We start from the raw sequence: 19,819 nt of genomic DNA, 5'->3' as shown, positions 1-19,819 counted from the left end.
ACCTCTTGGATACTATGCTCGCTACCTGGGTGATGGAATCATTCGTAGCCCAAACCTCAGTGACACGCAATTCACCCATGTAAATAAACTTCCTATGTACCCCCTGAATCTAAAATAAAAGTTGAAAAATACACTATATATAGTTTATTGCTTATCAATAATACTTCAATAACATTGATGAGAGAGAAAGAGATAGAGAGACAAAAAGAAAGAGAGAAAGTGAGATCTGTTCACCAAGTTCCAGATAGAATCCCAGGGAGGATGCAGAGAAAAAAAAATGGCTGCCTGGTGCGTCTAGGCAGATAGGGTCATAGGCAGCCTGTGAGTTTCAAATCTCTCTTGGTAGTAGAAGAGACACAGAATGAGCATTTTGTATCCAGAAGTGATGCAGAAGCAGCAAAGAAAGGTACCTGATTTTCTGGGGTCATGTGGCCAAGAACAAAGATGTTTCCAGCCCAGCATGAGGTCAACTGACCAAGCAGCTGATTGGGAAAAGGCTATTTTAGCAGATGCCCATGCAGCCAGATGACAGCAGGGACCTGAAGTACACCCCTTTCCCACCCTACTCCCCAGTTTTAGCTCTAGTTAAACTCTTTGGAACTTTGACACAACCCCACAGAATGGAGGAAGGGGGAGAAGGAGAAATCTCTTAATTCACTGACATTTAGTTTCTGCCACCCTGGCAGAATAAGGCTTGAAATAGAAATTGGGTACACATAGATGAAGAAGATGACATTTCTTGTTTATCTTGATTCCAAATTCTATGATTCAGTAATGAGACACAGCCCCTATTTTCACAGAGCAATATTCTAATTTAGGAGACTATAAGTTAGAATCTAAGATCCACATGGGTATATACCATGACTGCATTGCACATCTATCATCTAGTTTGATATCTGGCACATAATTGTGCTTAAATATGTATTTGTGGATGCATGGGTGGATGGATGGAGCAAACTCAAGCACACAATAAATTGTTACTAATCACTCAAGGAGCACCTGATAAGTGCAAAATGAGAGGTTTTATAAGTGTAATAAGGAGAGACTGCTAAGGGCTGGAGTCACCATTGATTACTTCGCTGGAGGACAAAGAGCTTGAGGTGGTCCTGGAAGGCAAAGAATTGGTTCAATAAAGAGACAGGGAGAGTGGGAAAAGTGGGCAGGAAAGGGAGGGTACAGGGAGAACAAAGGATTTGAAACTCAGACTGAAGTACTTTTGCTGCCAATTCAATGTACTTTCTCCTATACTCTTTTCTAAACATAGTATCTGGCACAGGATCTGCTGACAATATTTGGTGGATGGAGAGGAGGAAGAAGAGGACTAAACATATATTTTTAAAAGAATTTTTAAAACTGGGCCTGAATCTTGAAATTTCATCTCTACCTAAAGTTTAGTTTTAATGAAAAAGATGGCTTTTAGCTTTTATCCTAAAAGCAAAGTAGATATTTATCACTGTGGGGAGGGGCGTTTACAATATTTGGAATTGTGTTTAAGCACTCTTAGATGGTTTTTTCATCCCTGGAATCTATGCCATTCAAGGATTTATTTTGTAAACTGTTTCTAACTCTGCCCACCTAAAAAGAACTAAGTTTACATCATTATTTCGATTTCCTGCCCTGCAATAATAATTAACTTGCATTTATAGTTTATCAACCTCTCTTACATAACGTTATCTCATTTATTCCTCACAAAAGAGACCTCTGAAGTAAACATCGTTATCTCCATTTTTAGACGTGCAGAACTGAGACTCAAGAGGTTTGCTCCCTCGCGTTAATTCACCAGCCAATAAATGCCAAAATCTAGACCTGCGCCCAGTCCTTTCCTCAACACCACGTTGCCTCACTATTGTCACCTGTGGTTTTTAAAGAATGAGAAAAGATGCAGACACTGCTGAATTGTGTATATATGCCTATGAAAGACAGGGTATGGTGATGAGTTAGCACAATAAAGGATTTTAACCATGGCATATCATTAGTTGTTCGTTTAAGTAAAAAGAAAATCTTTACTTTTTAGCTGCGAGGGAAAAGGGTGTTCTTTGCTCAGCTATTCCATATTCATTACATATATTTGAGGGAACTTCTATATGATCTTCCACAAAGTCTCCCTCCTTTTTTAAGATGTCTCCCTGGAGCCAGAATGCTAGAGAGAATTTTTTACAGAAAAAATAATTAAGCTTTCTCACAGAGCAAATCCCCTAAAGTAATTTATCATAAAGAAAAACTCTAACCCAACCTTTTTCCTACCCAAAAGTACTAATTTAATTTTACAGCAGAACAGCTTCAGGGATCCCAAGAGCCAGATCAGGAAGGAGAGGAAGCCCAACCATTTGATCTTCTTACTCACCCCCTACTGGCACAGGTTTGCTTCATACTGAGAATTGTTTTGCACTTTGACGAGTCTGGCTCTAAATGTTTCAAATAATAAAGCCTAGGCCACTTAGAGTGGAGGAGTCTGTTTTGCTAATTGGTTTTATTCCTTTCTTCCTCGGTTAATGAAAGTTGGAATAATTTTTCAGAGTAGGATTACATGTTAGTTGTCATAAGGCTGTCACGAATGGCCAGGATTTAATACTTCTTGAACTCGAGTTACTTACAAACTGCAAATGCTTCTATCCTTTCCCCTTCTTTCACTCTTCCCTCTCTCTCTACTCATGCTGACATGGTAACCATGTTCACCCACAATGGTTGACAGATAAAAATGTTAATTTGAGAGATTGTGTTGACATCACTCTGGCAAAAAAAAAAAAATGTGAAAAGGTGCTGATACATTGTGCTATGTATTTTGATGCCTTTGCCACAAAGCAGAACTGCATATTCTCAAATATATATAATCTGATTAGCAGGTTTGTTTATTCATCTGATTCAGTTTTATTAAAGGAGATCACCATTGAACAACAGACCCACATTTCGGATGGGGCAGGTTCAGCCCTTTTGCATTCCCACAGCAATCTCCCGATGCTGAGATTCTGACATTTATTTTTGATGCAGTCATGTTAATGCTGCCACAGTGAAACAATCTGTCAAAATGTAAAATCACTGTCTTATGTCGTCAAGTAATTTCATGTGCCCTATCTCTCTGACCGTCCCTCTACACATAACCCCTCCCCTGATTACAGGGCGTTTTCACTTTCTCATGTATTCATTATTTATGTTTGTAAAACTCATCTTTATTTTATTCTTAGAAGAAACCATCAGTTGCTTTAATTTTAATCTGAGAAACAATTTAGCCCCTAAAGGTTATATCATCTATCTGTCAATCATAATAAAAGAGTTTTATAATATTAACCATGATATATGTCCTTTACTTAGTTCTGAGAGGATTGTTGGAGACATCATTGATGATTTCCTGGGTGCTTTGGAGCTAATAAGAGAACATATTTTGGAAAGCTGCCAAAAGAAAAGGTGTCCATGCTAGAGATTTTCAAATGTAAAACAAAGACCCATCATGAAGCAGACAAATCCATTTATTAATTGAAAGTAAATGAATATGGCCATTGAAACTTAATATTATATGCAGACTATTCAAGATTCACATGAATTCTCAACATTAAGTGAATAGTGCACTTAATATTTTGCTTAGGATGATAGATGACCCTAAGATGAGTAAGCTTGGCAGACACAAAACTTCCATTTTATGTGATTTGCTTTTGTAGCAGGTTTGAATTTTACTCAGTCACAAAAATCAAATGTGCCTAAAATGTTAATTTCTTTGCATTTTTGCAATTAAGCTTTTCATAACTCATAACTTTTTTTGCTACCTCTTCCCAAGCCTTGGTACTGCAGTCATTTCTGGCCCTCAGTTGTCCAGTTATTACTTCTATCACTTCTGTCTTCATCCCAGTTGTGTGTCCCTGCTCTGGTCCACCCACTCCCTCAGTCACATCTGCACTCACCTCAGTGCTGCAATATGCCAGGTTGTTTTCACACAACTGTGAGGCTGTGTAGACACCTCCATGTATAAACCAATGTTACGCAGGTATAGAAATCAGGAGGGAGAGATCATAATAGGATATGGGGTTAAGAAACCAGGTGGTAAAGAGAAAAGCAAGCCATTGTCCACATAACCTGCCAAAATTATTCTCAAAGAACAACCTGCAGGTTCACCGAGACAAATGTGTGTATGTGTGTGTATAGTCTATCATTTATGGAGAAATTTCAAATATTTGTCCTAATCAAGAAATATCCCTTATCCAATTCAGATAAAATTCCTCTCATCTTTGGCGGTACTTTTAAAACCAATTTGTCACTATTCAGCCTCACTAAGCCATCATGCTTGATAATAAAAAGAAAAATGCGGTCCTTACTTTGCAATTGTTCAACTACATATATATTTGTTATTGTCATTTTGCCTCAGTCCTGTCCTTGAGAAACACATATGCACACACACAGAAAAAACCTTAATTCCTAAGGTTATTCTAAAATCAGGAAAAATATATATATAAATGTTTTAAATCTTGTAAAAAATGTAGGCAAAATTGCAAGACCTGCTTGAAAATGCTGGAAAAACTATAAGAAACGTATACACTTAAACTTGTTAATTCCTGTTAGTAAATAAAAATGAATGCAATAAATATTTCAATACAACATGGTATTTGCTCTAAGTAATTTGGATTTTATATTAATAAAAATATTAAGATGATATAGCATTGCTTAAGCTAAGCTCAAAGTATTTCCGTTAGCTTCTATGCATTTTTCGGGTGGTATGTTACATATTATCATAACATATGTATATGCCACTATATTTTCTCTTTCTCCTAGTGAGTTCCCAGTTAAAGGGATACAGATAGCTTGTACTTTAGACACACTTTAGGACTCACTATGTAATATTATTAGTATTTCAGTAACATTTCCATATTCCACTTATATTTTTTAAGTAGCTTGCATTTCCATACTTTTAAGGATTTATATTTATACCAAGTTGAGAAATAACACCCACTGGACGCTAACAATAGGGCCCTGTATGAATATAATCATTATTACTAAAATGTCAGTTTTATCATACAATTTTATCTACAATAATACAAATTAACACACTTCCTTAGATATTTATAAATATCTTAATGACTTTTAAATTGAGAAGTATTTCTGAAACCTCTGGAGGGAAAAAGATAAGTGTGTATTAGGTGACAAAATGATTAGAATTCTTGCATCATCCTCATTATGTGAATGTCTGGTTTAAGCATCTCTATACCTGACACACTAATTTAGCTACAATGCAACAAAACCAGCATTGTAGTAATAGAATATTGATTGTACAGTGTTCAAAGACAAAGAACTTATGTTGTTGTACTTTTTATACATGTGTGATATTGCAGCACAATACCATGTCGATAATTTTCACCAAATGAAACCCACTACCACTGTGCTCAGTGGTGATTTAATTATGAAATAGTCAATCCTCCAATGAAATACTTTATCTTACACAAACCTAAAATATACTCAAAAGACTTTAGTGTAAAAGTATAGTGGGAAAACCCTCCCAAAGTTCACTTAAGTACATTATTTTTCTAATTTTTATGTCCATATTTTTATTCTCATAGTGCACATTTGAGAATGCTTTCTCAAGGAGACTCTAATCTCACAGGGATCAAGTATTAACACTGTATATTTCATTTCCCAATACAAAAAGAAAAGAGTGGTTTTACCAAGGATCCAAAATATGATTTTTAAATGAGTTTCTCACATGAGACTATTCTTATGGGTACAGTGCTGATGCCCTTTTAGAAAGAGTTTAGTCATGAATAAAATAATAAAGAGATGTCAGTTTATTTACTTGGAAATGCAAACATTGGACCTAATGAGAATTGTAAATAGCAAACAGAAGGTAATCTTGACATTAAGATCAACAAGTCTTTATTAAAATGTTGTTCTAAGAGAATTAAGCAATGAGGAATGAGGAATAGGAAATAGTATTTTTACAAATTTGAGAGTAGAAAAGGTCATTAAAATTTATAAACCAACTGCCACCCAGTGTGAGTTCCCCTTTCCAGCATCCTTGACAGATGTTCACTCAACACCTGCCTGAATATCTTCAGGACAGCTATTTTGTGAAAACGTTATTTCCTGTATCAAAACAAAACCTACTTCTTTGCCTTAAGCTGGTCTCCTATAGTACTGGTGAGAGTCTACAAGGGTACAACTTTTCTGAAGTTTATTCTGACAAAACAAACCATACAACTCTAAAATGTATCTATTCCTTGGTCTTATAGTTCTAGTTCCAAAGCTCTATACTAAGGAAATAATCAAAGTTATGTATAAAGAATTTATTTGATTTGTCACTTAGAAAAGTGAAAATTTGGAAACAAACCAATGTTCAAGAATAGAAGATTATTAAAATAAATTATGATAAATTTGCGCAAAGAAATACATTCAATCATCATAAATTGTGTTACAATAATTGTGTGCACAATATATGTTTTTCATGAAATAAGGTCTATGAAGTGCTTAGTAGAACTTTCTGACACAGAGAAAACGAAAAATAAATATTAAGTATTATTTTTTAAAGTAGGCAGTAAAAAAGCATATTCAATATACCGTTTATAAAAGACTCTTACATTGAGTGTGCATTCCTCTTGCAATCTAAAAACTGTTACCTTAAATACATTTATTTCACTAATATTTCATGAATACTGACTATATGCCAGATGTCAATGAACAAGGCTTACATTTCTTTTCTTTCAAAAGGAAAGACAAATATCTAAAGCAAATGACAGGGTGCTGTCACTTTTCAATTCTGGACGGTAAGTATGATCATCCTGGATTCTTGTCTTTGTCTTTTAAAGATGAATACTACAATACAAATGTAAAACTTTTAGTAATCAATAAAATACTGCATTACAATAAGTTTATAAAAAGTAATGAACTTTGAGCAAACAATCTTACTCCAACTTAAATGAGTGCATATGTTCACCAAAAGACACACTGAAGTACGTTTATTGCACCTTCATTCATAATAGCACAAAGCCGGAACCAATTCAAGTGTTCCTTAACTGTAGAATGGATAAATAAATTGTGGCATTTTTAAAAAGCTTTAGTGAAATATAATTTATATGCCATACCATTCACCCAGTTTAAAATGTGCAACTCAATGATTTTTAGAAAATTTACTAAGTTGTGCAACCATCACTGTAGCCTAGTTTCAGAAAACTTTCATTACCCTGATAAGATCCCTCATGTTCCTTTACAGTTAATCCCTTTTCTCACCCTGAGCCCCAGGCAACAACTAATTTATTTTCTGTTTCTATAGATTTGCTTAATTGTGTTATATTCTTACAAAAAGTAAATTGTGTTATATTTTTATAAAGCAAAAATTACAGCTACATTCAATAACAATGATGAATATCTCAGACAAAATATTGAATATAAGTAGCCAAGCCAAAAAAATGCATAGGCTATATGATTCCATTTATGGAAATTTAAGAACAGGCCAACACGAATCCATTATGATAAACATCACAACAGTGGTTATCACTGCGGTGGATACCGTCCAGAGGGGAAAAGAGGTAGACTTCTGAAGGTCTAGAAATATTCTGTATGTTCACCTGTGTGGTGCTTACTTGGACACATACACATGTAAAAATTAATAAATTGGTTCTGCTGAAATTTTTGTATTTTATGGTTCAATAAAAATTTTTAAATAAAGCCACACTTATATCGATTGCTTTATATCCTTGCTTATGTCATCATTCTTCTCCTCCTCTTTCACTTCTGTTTCTAACATCATCTTGCCAAGTTGAGTGTGAATTTTCTGAAAAATGTTACTAAAGTCATACTGTTATTTTGTTAAAAGCTGTGGGAAAATGAAAAATCAAACATCAAACTCATCTTCTTACCTCTCTATTGTCTACATTTCTGAAGGATATAATGGATATCTATGATAATGGATATCTCGTGAGAAGAGGAAATGGGTTTATGTGGAGAAAAAGCCGTACCAAAAACTAGAATAAAACTGAAAATAGGAATACAGACAGCACCCCAACCAAACTGTTTCTTAAGGAAAGAAGGAGGAAAGAATGAATGTCATTCGAGCCATTCAATTACTTAAATTTTTGTATGACTTTTTAAAAGTGTGCAATGTATCATGTACTAAGATAACAAAATGGAAGGATTTTTCTTTTTGAGAGCTACATTTAACATCTTAAAGTGGTAACACCTACTTAGTTCTTAAAAGACTGTTGTTTGAATATTATCACCTATCTGGTATTCCCAAGTCAGCAATGCAATGAGGAGTGACACCTGTGTTTATTGTGCCCTATATAGAATGCTGCAATAGCAAGTCAATCATGATAACAGCAGTAAAAACCCACCTCTAAACACGCTGTTTAAACACAGGCAATGACACCATCTATTACATAGCCATATTCTCTGGGGAATTCCAGCCATTTGAAACCATTTAATCAATCCCTATCACACACCTTTGTTTGACAGTGTGCAGCTTAAATAGCCACTGTTCATTTGCAGGGACTATGGGAGAGTGCTGTTTAGTGACTTACCAAAATTAACTAGTATCACTCCAATATCATTCTTTAATAATGCAGTCATTTTCAGAATTAGGTAGTCAGCCAGTGACAAATCTAAAAATAATTCTCAGGACCCATTTACTAGGAAACCAGAGGATTGTCTTACTGTTCAACCTTATGTTCTTTCACATTCCATACCTGTTTCCAGATTTATAGCAAGAGTAAAATCTAGCAATCAATCTCTACCCAACAGTAATAATCTTACCATTTCTAAGGCTGTGGCTCTATTGAGGTATTAATCAACAATCGTTTAGTTTCAAGTTACAAGAAATAATAATTCAACCTAGCTTTTTAAGAAAGAGAAAGAGTTAGTTCATTAGATAAATACCAAATAGTTGAGAGTTTAGTGCTGATTTTAGGGCTGACTAGGTTCAGGTCTCCACTCCTCATCTCTTTCTCTGCTTCTTTCCATGTTAACCTCAATTTCTTTTATAAAAGAAAAAAGGAACACAACTTCATAATTCCAACTAATGATTTCAATACAATTTGTCATCCAAAAAAATACGTGACTCTCTCTTCCTCTACCCCAAGGAGTGATGTACCAAATTTTAGGAAACTCATCAACCCAGTTTTGGATCACAGGACTGTCCTTGAAAAAATCACAAAGACCAAAAGGAGGAAGATGTGATCGAATTGGCCATTCTGATCATAAAACATGGAGCAGAGAAAAGAGTGCCTAATAACATATAGCCCCACAGGACTACATGAAGTTCAGGAGAGGATATTTCCCAGAAGAAAATCAGTGTGTTGGTTCTAAGAGACAAAGAAATAGTGATCAAGCGAAAGCAATAGATGTCCACTATTGTCGTCACATGTATGAGCTAATTCCATGTACTCAGCAGACATTTCCTAGCAAATAGAATGTATATTTCTAGTGTTCTTCAGAATAGCAGTGCAAAATATTATTGTTGTGGGCTTTCAAGAAAACAGAAAGTCATTTGAAAAATTCAAATGTGGGGTGGTGGGGCAGGCAGAAGATTACACTTATTGCTTCACAAACTCAATGCTAAAGATTATAAAATTCCCTTAGGAAGAAGGTATTTCTCCATTCGTTCTGACCTAACAATACATCTTGGCAATTGAATTGACCTATCCTTTTAAACATGAGTACTTTGACTTGGCTACACCAAAATGATGACCAAGAGATGTAAAAATGTGATTTTGCTTTTCTTTTAACCAAGTATTAAGTGAAATGAATGTCTCAGTTACCAACTTTGCCCTGGTGAAGCTGAAGGATGACCTGAGAATGTACATTCTATCTATTTTGATTGGTCAAAATATGAGAGATGAAAATCTAGAAAGAAATTTGTGTAAATATTTCTATAAATATAAACTTGGGATGTCAATATAAGGCAAAATATTAATGCCAAAGATTATAAAGGAAAGATGAATAGATTCAACTATCACAATGAAAATAATCAAAAAAAGTTACAATAAAAAGGAAAACTGTAAAAATATTTGGAGCATATACAATGGAAAGAGGATTAATATTTTTAATATAAGAAGAGCTTTTACAAATCAATAAGAAAAAGACAAATACAGTAATAGAAAGCTGATTAAGAAATATGTACAGGTAATTTCAAAAGAAGTAAATGAAAAAATATTGTTTATTGACATGTGAAAAGATGTTCAAATTTATTATTAATCAAATAAATAAAAATCAAACAATATTTGATTTTACTTAGATTGGCAAATATTAAAACACTTAATAACATCCATGCTGTTAGACGGTTAGATTAGTACAGGCTTTCAGGAAGCCATTTGACATTACGTATGATTTTAAATTTTAAGTTTACATTTTCATTGACCCATCAATCCTGCTTCTGAAACTTAACACCAAGGGGAAAAATAATAATAAACCATGTGAAAAGATTGTGAGTGTGTGTAGGTGTGCATGCGAGTGTATGTGTTTGAGTGTATGTTGTATGAAAAGATTTGGGTGTTGTACTATGAATAGTAATGATAAATTATAACACCCTAAATGCCTCATAACTAGGAATTGATTAAATTAAAAATTGTTCTCTAAAATGGATCTAGAAATTTTAAATGATGGTTTCTGTGTGGACACTTTAAAAGATGCTTATGTGTTTTAGGTAATGCTGGCCTTTTCTTTGCCGGCCTAAACTAGTTTTCAAATATACACGACAGTAAGATCAAGATTCAGAGCAAATATTTATTGTGTTTCTCATTCTTCTGTTGGGGAGATTTTTTTTAATCAAAATTCTTAGTAGGGGGAATACACTTCTCTCCACCAGCAGAGTTTCATCCCATAGACAAACTCCATGAACAGCCAGGTCACTGCCATTCTCTAAATAAAAATGTTACAAAATAGCAAGTATTGTAACGCAATTGTCCTGGACAGAGTACAGAGGACATTCATATTTTGCAGAATATGTTATGCTTCTGATCCGTCCTGGTTGTAACTTGTATAAATTACCTCATAAAATAAAACAGTAAAGGCCAAGCTCTATAAACCGAAGAATCAGGTTATCAACCAAACCTTTCCAAAGAAAGGGGTAATGATGGCATGGCTAACAACCCGGAAGTCTCCCCAGTAGGCAAGTCTGGCATCTCCAAGTGTCCCCTGGCACATGGGGTCAGAGTTAAAAGGGTGAGGGATCCAGATCACCAAACAAAATGAATGGTGTGTTCTCATTTTTATTTTTTAAGTGTATATATGTGAAATGTGTTAGCAATTATTATAACGGGGTGGTAGGATTATAGTTAATTTTTATTTTCTCTTCAAATAATTCACAATATTATTTAAGCTAAAAGGCTACGTCAGTGTTACCTGTATTTTTTTTTTTTAATGAGATGGAGTCTCACTATGTTGCCTAGGTGGGTCTCGAACCCCTGAGCTCAAGTGAGCTGCCCATCTCAGCCTCCCAAAGTGCTGGGATTACAGGTGGGAGCCATGGCGCCCGACCTAGTATTGTCTGGATTTCTTAAAACAAATATGTTCAATTTTTTTGCATCAACGGACTTATTTGCTCTAGCCCAGAATTTCTCCAACTGTGTTCCATGACATTATGTGTGCACGTGTGTGTGTGTGTATGTGTGTATAATGTATCTTTATAAACTATACATATACATTATATTTACACTCAACACTAGGATAAGTAAGATTAGGTGAATTTCATTGCTTCAAAACTTCTCAGAATATTAAATATGCTAACACAATATGTATTATTTCCCAAATTTCTTTTGCTCTAAATGTTTTCAAGGAAGCTTCTCACTGTATTAATGCTCCAAGAAATACAGTTAGACAAGTGTTGTGGTCTATTCTGATCTTCCTAAACTCATAACTCTGTTTACAAATGGGCCCCACCTGTAGGTACAGATCACTTCATTTTCTGTAGGTACACTTCACCTTATTTCCTGAGCCAGTCCTCATTAAGCCAAAGATCAATAACAACTTTTGTTGTATAGTTGAAGATGGAACTTGTTTTTTAAGTTCTCATCTTACTGTAGCTGTCCTCAGCTTTTGACAAACTGGACCTCTGGATCTTTGAACAGGTCTTATTCATTGGTTTTTCTCTATTTTCTAGGCATTGTTGTTTAGTTTCTCTTGCAGCTTTTCTTGCACTGTTGTTAACTTCCTCTGTTAGATTGGCTTCTTAAGTGTGGATTTCCCCTGGGGATTCTGTCTGGCAGCCAGTCTTCTGACTCCAAACACTCCCTGGGTGATCTTGTTCTCACCTATTATTTCAATAACCAGCTCTAAAAACTCATCATTCATAAATCATGAAGAATCTTCAGCCCACATCTCCCTTCAAGGTTTGATGTTTATAAAAACTGCCCTCCTTAATATCTCCCCTTGGAAGCCCCACAGGCACATCAAACAGTATATCCTAAATTGAAAAGTATTTTCATCCCTTCCCCATGTGGGATTTTTTTCCTATATCAGCAAACAATGTCACTCATTCATTCAGCTTCCAGTGGCTTCACTTATTTCTTCCTCCTCACACGCCAAGCCCTGTTAATAATCAATTTCTGTTGATTCACTTCCTAGTATCTCTCCAGAGATCCACTTCTCCCCATCCCTACAGCCATTATCTTAGTTTTCAATACGTTCAGTTGTCACTGGAATTACTACAGGTCTCCCAAATTGTACCTAGTTCACAGTTAGCACTAAATAAAAATTTGTTGAATAAATAAACGATCTTTCTTTAGCCTTTCCCCTTTCAGTCCATTCTTCAAACAGCAACACAATAGTCACACTAAAACTCAAATTAGATAGTTTCATCTCATCTTGAAGCGTACTTGGTGCCCTGAGGAAAATGAACAATTGCATTATGCATGTCATTTCTTGAGTTCCTTCTCACTCACCTCTTCAACCTCACTTGTCAAAGTATATCCTCCAGCCTGTCATACTGAACAATGTACAGTTCCTTAAGTAATACCATAATAACTTTTCTCCTATTTCTTTCTTCATTACCCAGTCTTGTCTGTACTTAAGTCTTATTCAGTATTCCGGATTCAACATAGATGTCGCCCTTACAAAGCCTTCTGATTTGCCAATATTGGATTAGGTGTCTTGTCTATAAGATTCTATAGGACCGTATTCTTTCCCCTATTACTACATGGAACACACTGAAGTGGTTTTCTGATGACTGGGCTGTAGTATCCTTAAGATATGCATAATGTATGCATCATGCTGTATTCAAGAATAGCCCAGGACCTGACACATAGGGGGATACTCAGATTCATCTGTATAATGGGGACATTGTCCTACCAACTTTACAGCATTGTCAGAAGGATCAAATACAGGGTGGTCAAATAAAATACAGGATGGCCAGTTAAATTTGACTGCCAAATACACAATGAAAACTTTTTCCAATGTCTTATGCAATATTTGAAACACACTTACACTAAAACAATTATTCATTGTGTACCTAGAATTCAAATTCAACTGGGTATTGTTTTTTTGTAAATCTGACAACTCTGATTAAACAAGACCGTATATGTATGAAAGTGTTTTACCATCTATAAAAGACTACAAAAAATGTAAGCAAATGTAAGCTCTGTTTTTCTAAAAATCCATTACAACTTTGAAATAAATAATGAGAAGTTTCCATGTCAGGCTTCTGTGATTTTCATCTATTATTGACAAATCTTGCTGTGTGAGTTTATTTGTTCTTCCTAAATTAAACAATATCCTTCTTGAAAATAAAAGTACATTTCTTGGGGACATATGTTTAATTCCAAGCAACTGGACACCAAGATGCATACTGACCATTTAAAATGATCATTACACTAGAAGAAGAATGGAAGGGAGAGAAGAAGGGGGAAAGAAGAAGATTTAAAACTGTGTTTGCAATCAAGTAATTTCAAGAGGAAAAAACCCTGGGGCAACTCCTCCTTTAATACTGTTTCTATATTAACCACCCTAAATTTGGAACCCAGTGATCTAGACTTCTCCACATGGACTAATATTTAAAAATTGATGAAATATAACTTTTCTAATTACTTTCCAATTACTTGATTTAAGACTTAAGAGCCATAGATATAAACTAGAAAAATCTCTGGCATAGAGGGAGTCAAGATACCTACTTTTTCAACTAACTCTTGTGTCTTCATGCTGGACATTTGCATTCTCATCTCTAGAAAAAGACAGTATTGATTCAGGTGATTTCTAAATGTCTACATACCTCTAACACTCTGAAATTTTATGAAATATTCACTTCATATTGTAGACATTAGCAGAAATAAAACATAAAAACTATTTGATTTACATGTGTATTTGAAGTAAACCCTACCAAATGAAGTTCATAACTCCATTTTTGAATCTATTATAATTATACAAATCTAATCCACTCACAGATATCAGGTAAGCTAACAAAATGCTAGTGGTAGCAGAATCAGTATGCTCAAAATTTCAGTTAAATGACAGACACACATTGGCAATGTTCATCAGATGGAGGAAAAGACACAGAAGCATCATTCCTCCTCCCCCATCTCCTCTTCATTCTCCCTGAAGAGGACAGAAAAAACTAATTTGGAACTAGCTTAAATGTCACAAGTACTAGGACTCAGACATAAGGACAATTACCAGAATCACTGGACTGGAAGAGATTTAAGAAATCATCCCAGACAGACACAAATCACCCCTGATAAACTGATTCCTTTACAAGCAATAAAGTTAAGGGACAGATGTTCCTGTTTTATACACCAACACCATGGGAGAGACTCCCCAAAACATAACTAACTTTTAGTATGTTAATGAAGAAAACATTGCTTGCTCTGTTATCCTTCCTATGTCCTTTCTTTCCCCTTCACCCACCAAAAGCTCTCAGGTTCTCGGACAGCTTGGCTGGGGGTAGTGAGAGGCTGGGAAAAGCTTCTAGGGCCCTAGTACCCTGAGGTGAGATCTGGGAAAGTGATGGAGTTAACCAGGAAAGAAAAAGGGACATTCAAAGGGGCTGTTTAATATTTGAGGAATTATTCACATTCCAGAGCTATACCCTGTGTCTTATAGAGCATTGCTTTTTTCCTCTCTGTAGTGAGGGATGCTCTAACAAGAAACTGCCATCTTCCTAAATGGTGCTACCCTTGGGGCCACAGTGACTGATCCAGGTGGCAAGTGATCCAGGATGGGCTGGTCAGCATCTTCCTTCTTGGTTTTCTAAATTAGAAGAAAGAAAATAGAGCCTTCAGCTCTCTGGTGGTAAAGCAAGGAAAATGTCAGGCAATAAGCTGTTGGCAGCCATATTCAAGGCCATGTGGAAAAGCAGAACTGCAGAGAAAAAAATGCAGCCAACAGGCAGACAAAAGCAGAGAAAAGGAGCAACTCGGGGGAAGAGTCTTTTCTCTATTCAAGGGCTGGTTCGAGTTATATTCCTGCCCTTCCCTGGTTTCCTCAGTTTGTGTGAGCCAGTAACTCTTCCTTTTCTTTTCCTAGGTTTTTTCACATATGAGTCTCTGCTAAGAACCCTGAATCATAACATTAAAGACTAAGGGAACATTTGCAAAGGCAAGGAGCAGTGACCTAACTAATAAAATGTCTAAGAAGGGCCCCCAATTTCTGCCTCTCCCTAAAACAATGAAAAAAATAAGCCACATTACAATAATCCAGGCAGAGTGTGCTTTTCTTTGTTTTCTCTGATGATTTACATTGTTAATTTGGGAGAACTTTTTCTTTCTTTTTTTTTTTTTTTTTTGAGACAGGCTCTCATGCTCTCTCCCAGGCTGGAGTGTAGTGACCATGATCACAGCACACTGCAGCTTCGATCTCCCAGGCTCAAGCAATCCTCCCACCTCAGCCTCCCAAGTAGCTGGGACTACGAGCACAGGCCACCACACCTGGCTAATTTTTGTATTTTTTGTAGAGGTGGGGTTTCGCCACGTTGTCCAAGTTGGTCTCAAATTCCTGGGCTCAAGCGATCCTCCTGCCTCGGCCTCCCAGAGTACTAGAATTAGAGTCATGTGCCACCACACGGGGCCAGGAGGAGCTTTTTATTAGCGGAACAGAAAAGTCCACATTATACCAGGAAAACTTCGATAAGCACAATGATGTATTTTAGTATTGATTATATGCTCACAGATACTTGATCTGACGTTTATAATTTGGCTATTCAACATTTAAGCCAATTAAAGATCGGGAAGGCAGGGCTTAAATTTCACTGCACAGTAGGCAGAATTATGAACTCCTCCACACGTCATTTGGTAGAGCAGCCTCTCACAGACTGTGTCCTGAGAAGAGATAGGCATGCTCTCATAAGCATAGGAAACACTGCCTGATGAAGTCTTCCTCTTGGAGGTTCACAATGCATATTAACACATAAGAAAAGCGTCAGTAAATATATCTGCTTAATTTTGTTTAACAGCTAAACAAATTTACTTATATAGGAATAGATTTATTTTATTTCTCTCACACTTATTCATAAAAAACCAAAGCAATTTGCCCTTGATACCAGCAAGGGCTGTAAACAGTGTAGATATGGACTAAAGATTTCATCTCTTGTCATGGAGACTCAATGGCAAATTAAATCATGTGCTCCATTACCATAAAAATCATAGGCATATTTTGAAGAAGTCCAGACAGATTTCTTTTCTGGTCAAGTACATTGCTGTTTGTATGCTAATTATAACTTATTGGTAGTGGTCAACTGGAAATTTTATCTCACCAGACTTTTTAAAGGCCAGGTGATCAGATGGAATGCATGAGTTGCACTGGCATTAGTTTTCTTTCTGGAAATGAAGACGGAAATAATACAACTCATTCAGGGAAGCGCAAGTAGCTCTATTTGACAAGAAAGTAAGGTGCAGAGCTAGGTCAGGGAGTGAGGAGGAGGAGGGTCTCAATTTTTGGTATAAGGATGAAGATAAAGCATGAACACCAAAGATTAGGTAAGTACCAGCTGGTTGTAGGAGGGAGTAATGGAGAACTGTGGATGATGATGGAGTTTCTGGCTGGGCCCCTGGAGGTGTGGTAGACTAGAGACCAAATGAGCAACTTCTCATTCGTGTCAGAAAGAAATTCAGGATCCTCACCTTCTTGTTGCACCAGCTTCTTTTTCTAATGCCCTTCTCCTGCAATATGATTCTAGAGCACCAAGGGCATTTAAATCAGCACAAGGTGACAGAAACAAGTGCACACAAGAAACCTGCTTGTTCCTAGATAAGCACATCTATCCAACTGTGAAGAATCATTCAGAGCCATTCGAAAGCAAATGAACTGTCAATACACACTGGAGATAGCTAGGACAGGTAAAAATTGTAAAGTTAGTCTTGCTTAACCTAGGCAGAATAAATACAAAATTAAATCCACTAGAAGTCACTTAAGATGGCTTTAAGTGACGAGTTTGCTTTGATAATGTGGAGGATGAAAGATTAATTTTCCTCTCAAAAAGGTTTTGTCATGTAATAGCCAGTAGTACCAATCATCAGAAATAATTACAAATAGCACACAAATAGATTCAAACAACCGTATAAATAAGGATTTAAAAAATTCATGAGCTGCCACCTCTTACTAAACTGTACATAATTTGGCAATATTTTAATAATTTGACAGTACTATAATACAATCAGGTCTTCTAGAATAAATCATTTTCATTTTTCACTACTGAAGACATAACCCAAACCTTTTCACTAATCCCACTCAAACTATAGGAAATGCTGCATTCAACCATATCCAGAATGTAATAGAATAACTCTAGAATTAACTCTAGGATAAGGATATTTTCTTTATTCTTTCTAAATGAGTCTTATGGATGTGTCTGATAATTATGTCTTTTCTTAAAAGTATATTAATCATTTAATGCTGGTCTCAAAATTGCTTATGTACTACCATGTTTTATCTCTTTTAGCATTATTTTGAATTCCTAGGATATGAATGAATGAAGTAAAAGCAGGTTCTTACATTAATGCCTTCTTCTAAATTAGGCACATGTGTATCTTTTGTTGGAGTTTCAGTTGCTTTTGACTTGTCACTATTGACAATTTATCAGAATAATAAATTCTTTATAAAATAATTCTACTTACTTTGCTAGTAACGCATATTTAGGAATAATCTATTCTTTACCAGTTCCCAGTAAAATAAAACACATAATGACATTAAAGAGTAATTTGGATATTTTACTGACTTTATATTTTGGCAATGTTTCATGCCTCATTTGCCCTAAAACTCATTAGATTAGTGCAACACCATGTTTTAATGCAATAAGTTCAGACTTATTTTTCCAACTAAGTTGAGCCCTGCTTATTTTCTGTGCTTTCATGCTTGAGTTAATAAATTGCAAAGTTTCTCTATTTTGTTTGCTCTGTTTTCCTTTATATACCATTTGCTGGAGGTTCTCTATTTTGAAAGACAGGGATGAGATGAAAAGTAAATTATCCCTTTGGGTTTGTGAAATAAAGTTTACCTCTCTACAATCTGCAATAGCAATCATTTCTTTTATATTATTGAGCCTTCAATTTGTGACAAGTACATGCACCTAAAACCAACATATCAATGGGAACGAACCAGAAAACAGTGATTGGAAGAGTGCCAGGTGAAGACAGCAACGGAGATCACATGATCTCAGGAAGTGTAATCTTTGTAGCAGTGAGGGTTTGGAAGACTGGTAAGGTAGGTGACTTTATCATGTCCCAGCACGGCCTTGAAGAACTCCACAACCCTATGGAGGGTCTAGTTTACCAAGCAGAGATGTTTTTTGACCTTCCTCCTGATCATCTAGCTTCATCCTGTTTATAATTAAGTTTCACTTCCATGTAACTAAAACATATATTTTCTTAAGGATAAATTATTCAATCCTGATAGATCAAAGCTTCATCTCAATGAGGTCAGTCATCTGGCAAATGGTCTCACTCTCCTGCATTTTGGAGCCATTTGAGAGTCATTTTTGTTATGAAAGTTTACATGAACACACAGATAAATTATGTCTCCTCCCACCTTCTTGCCATATTGTAATCATGACATATAAGTCATTTGTAATACTACAACACAAGATGAAACTTGAGGACATTATGTTAAGTGAAATAAGCCAATCACAAAAGGACAATACTGTATCTTACTATTTAATGGGTATAGAGCTTCATTTTTACCAACTGAAATGAGCTGTGCTGATGGTTGCCCACCATTATGAATGTATTTAATACCACTGAACTCTACGATCAACAACAGTTAAGGTGATAAATTTTATGTCCTGTGTATTTTACCACCAGGAAATTTTTTTAAGTCAATCACATACCTTCTTAAGTATCTGATCTACTCTCTCATCTTTGTTGACTTTCCAAACCCTATACCATCTCTCTGGCCCTTATCTGTCCCAGCTCTCACTAGAGGCTCTACCATTGCACTCCCAGTTCAATGCTCTCACCTTATCCTGACCACAGTAGGAAGTATCGCCTGACCCTTCTGTTAGCCAGTAATCACATCCCACATCTTTTATTCCTTTTTGCATTGCCTGGCTTTCCATGTGGTGTGCTTTAGCTCTCCAATAAGATAGCAAGTACCTACAATATTGCTGTCATATTTTTATACCCAACCATGCCCTAAAAAGATTGTGTGTGCAATAAATTATTGTTAATTTGTTTACTTCTCATTTTAGAGACACCATACAGACAAAAATAGAGAATGAAGTTTTGTACTTTTTGTCACCACTCTATCTTAAACTCACATCTGTTATCCACATTCATAGTCTTTCTCCAAATACATTTTTTCATGAAAATATCAAGAATCAAAATTTCAGTTTCACCATATCTCTAAAAACTGAAATTTGACTGTAACTTGACCAGTCTCTAAAGAAAACTTAGAAAATTTCTCTCCTTTTAAATGTTTCAATGACACAGAGAATTCT

This window comes from Homo sapiens, chromosome 6 (assembly GCF_000001405.40).
Source record: "Homo sapiens chromosome 6, GRCh38.p14 Primary Assembly".
Lineage (NCBI taxonomy): Eukaryota > Metazoa > Chordata > Mammalia > Primates > Hominidae > Homo > Homo sapiens.
This window is presented reverse-complemented; position numbering follows the sequence as displayed.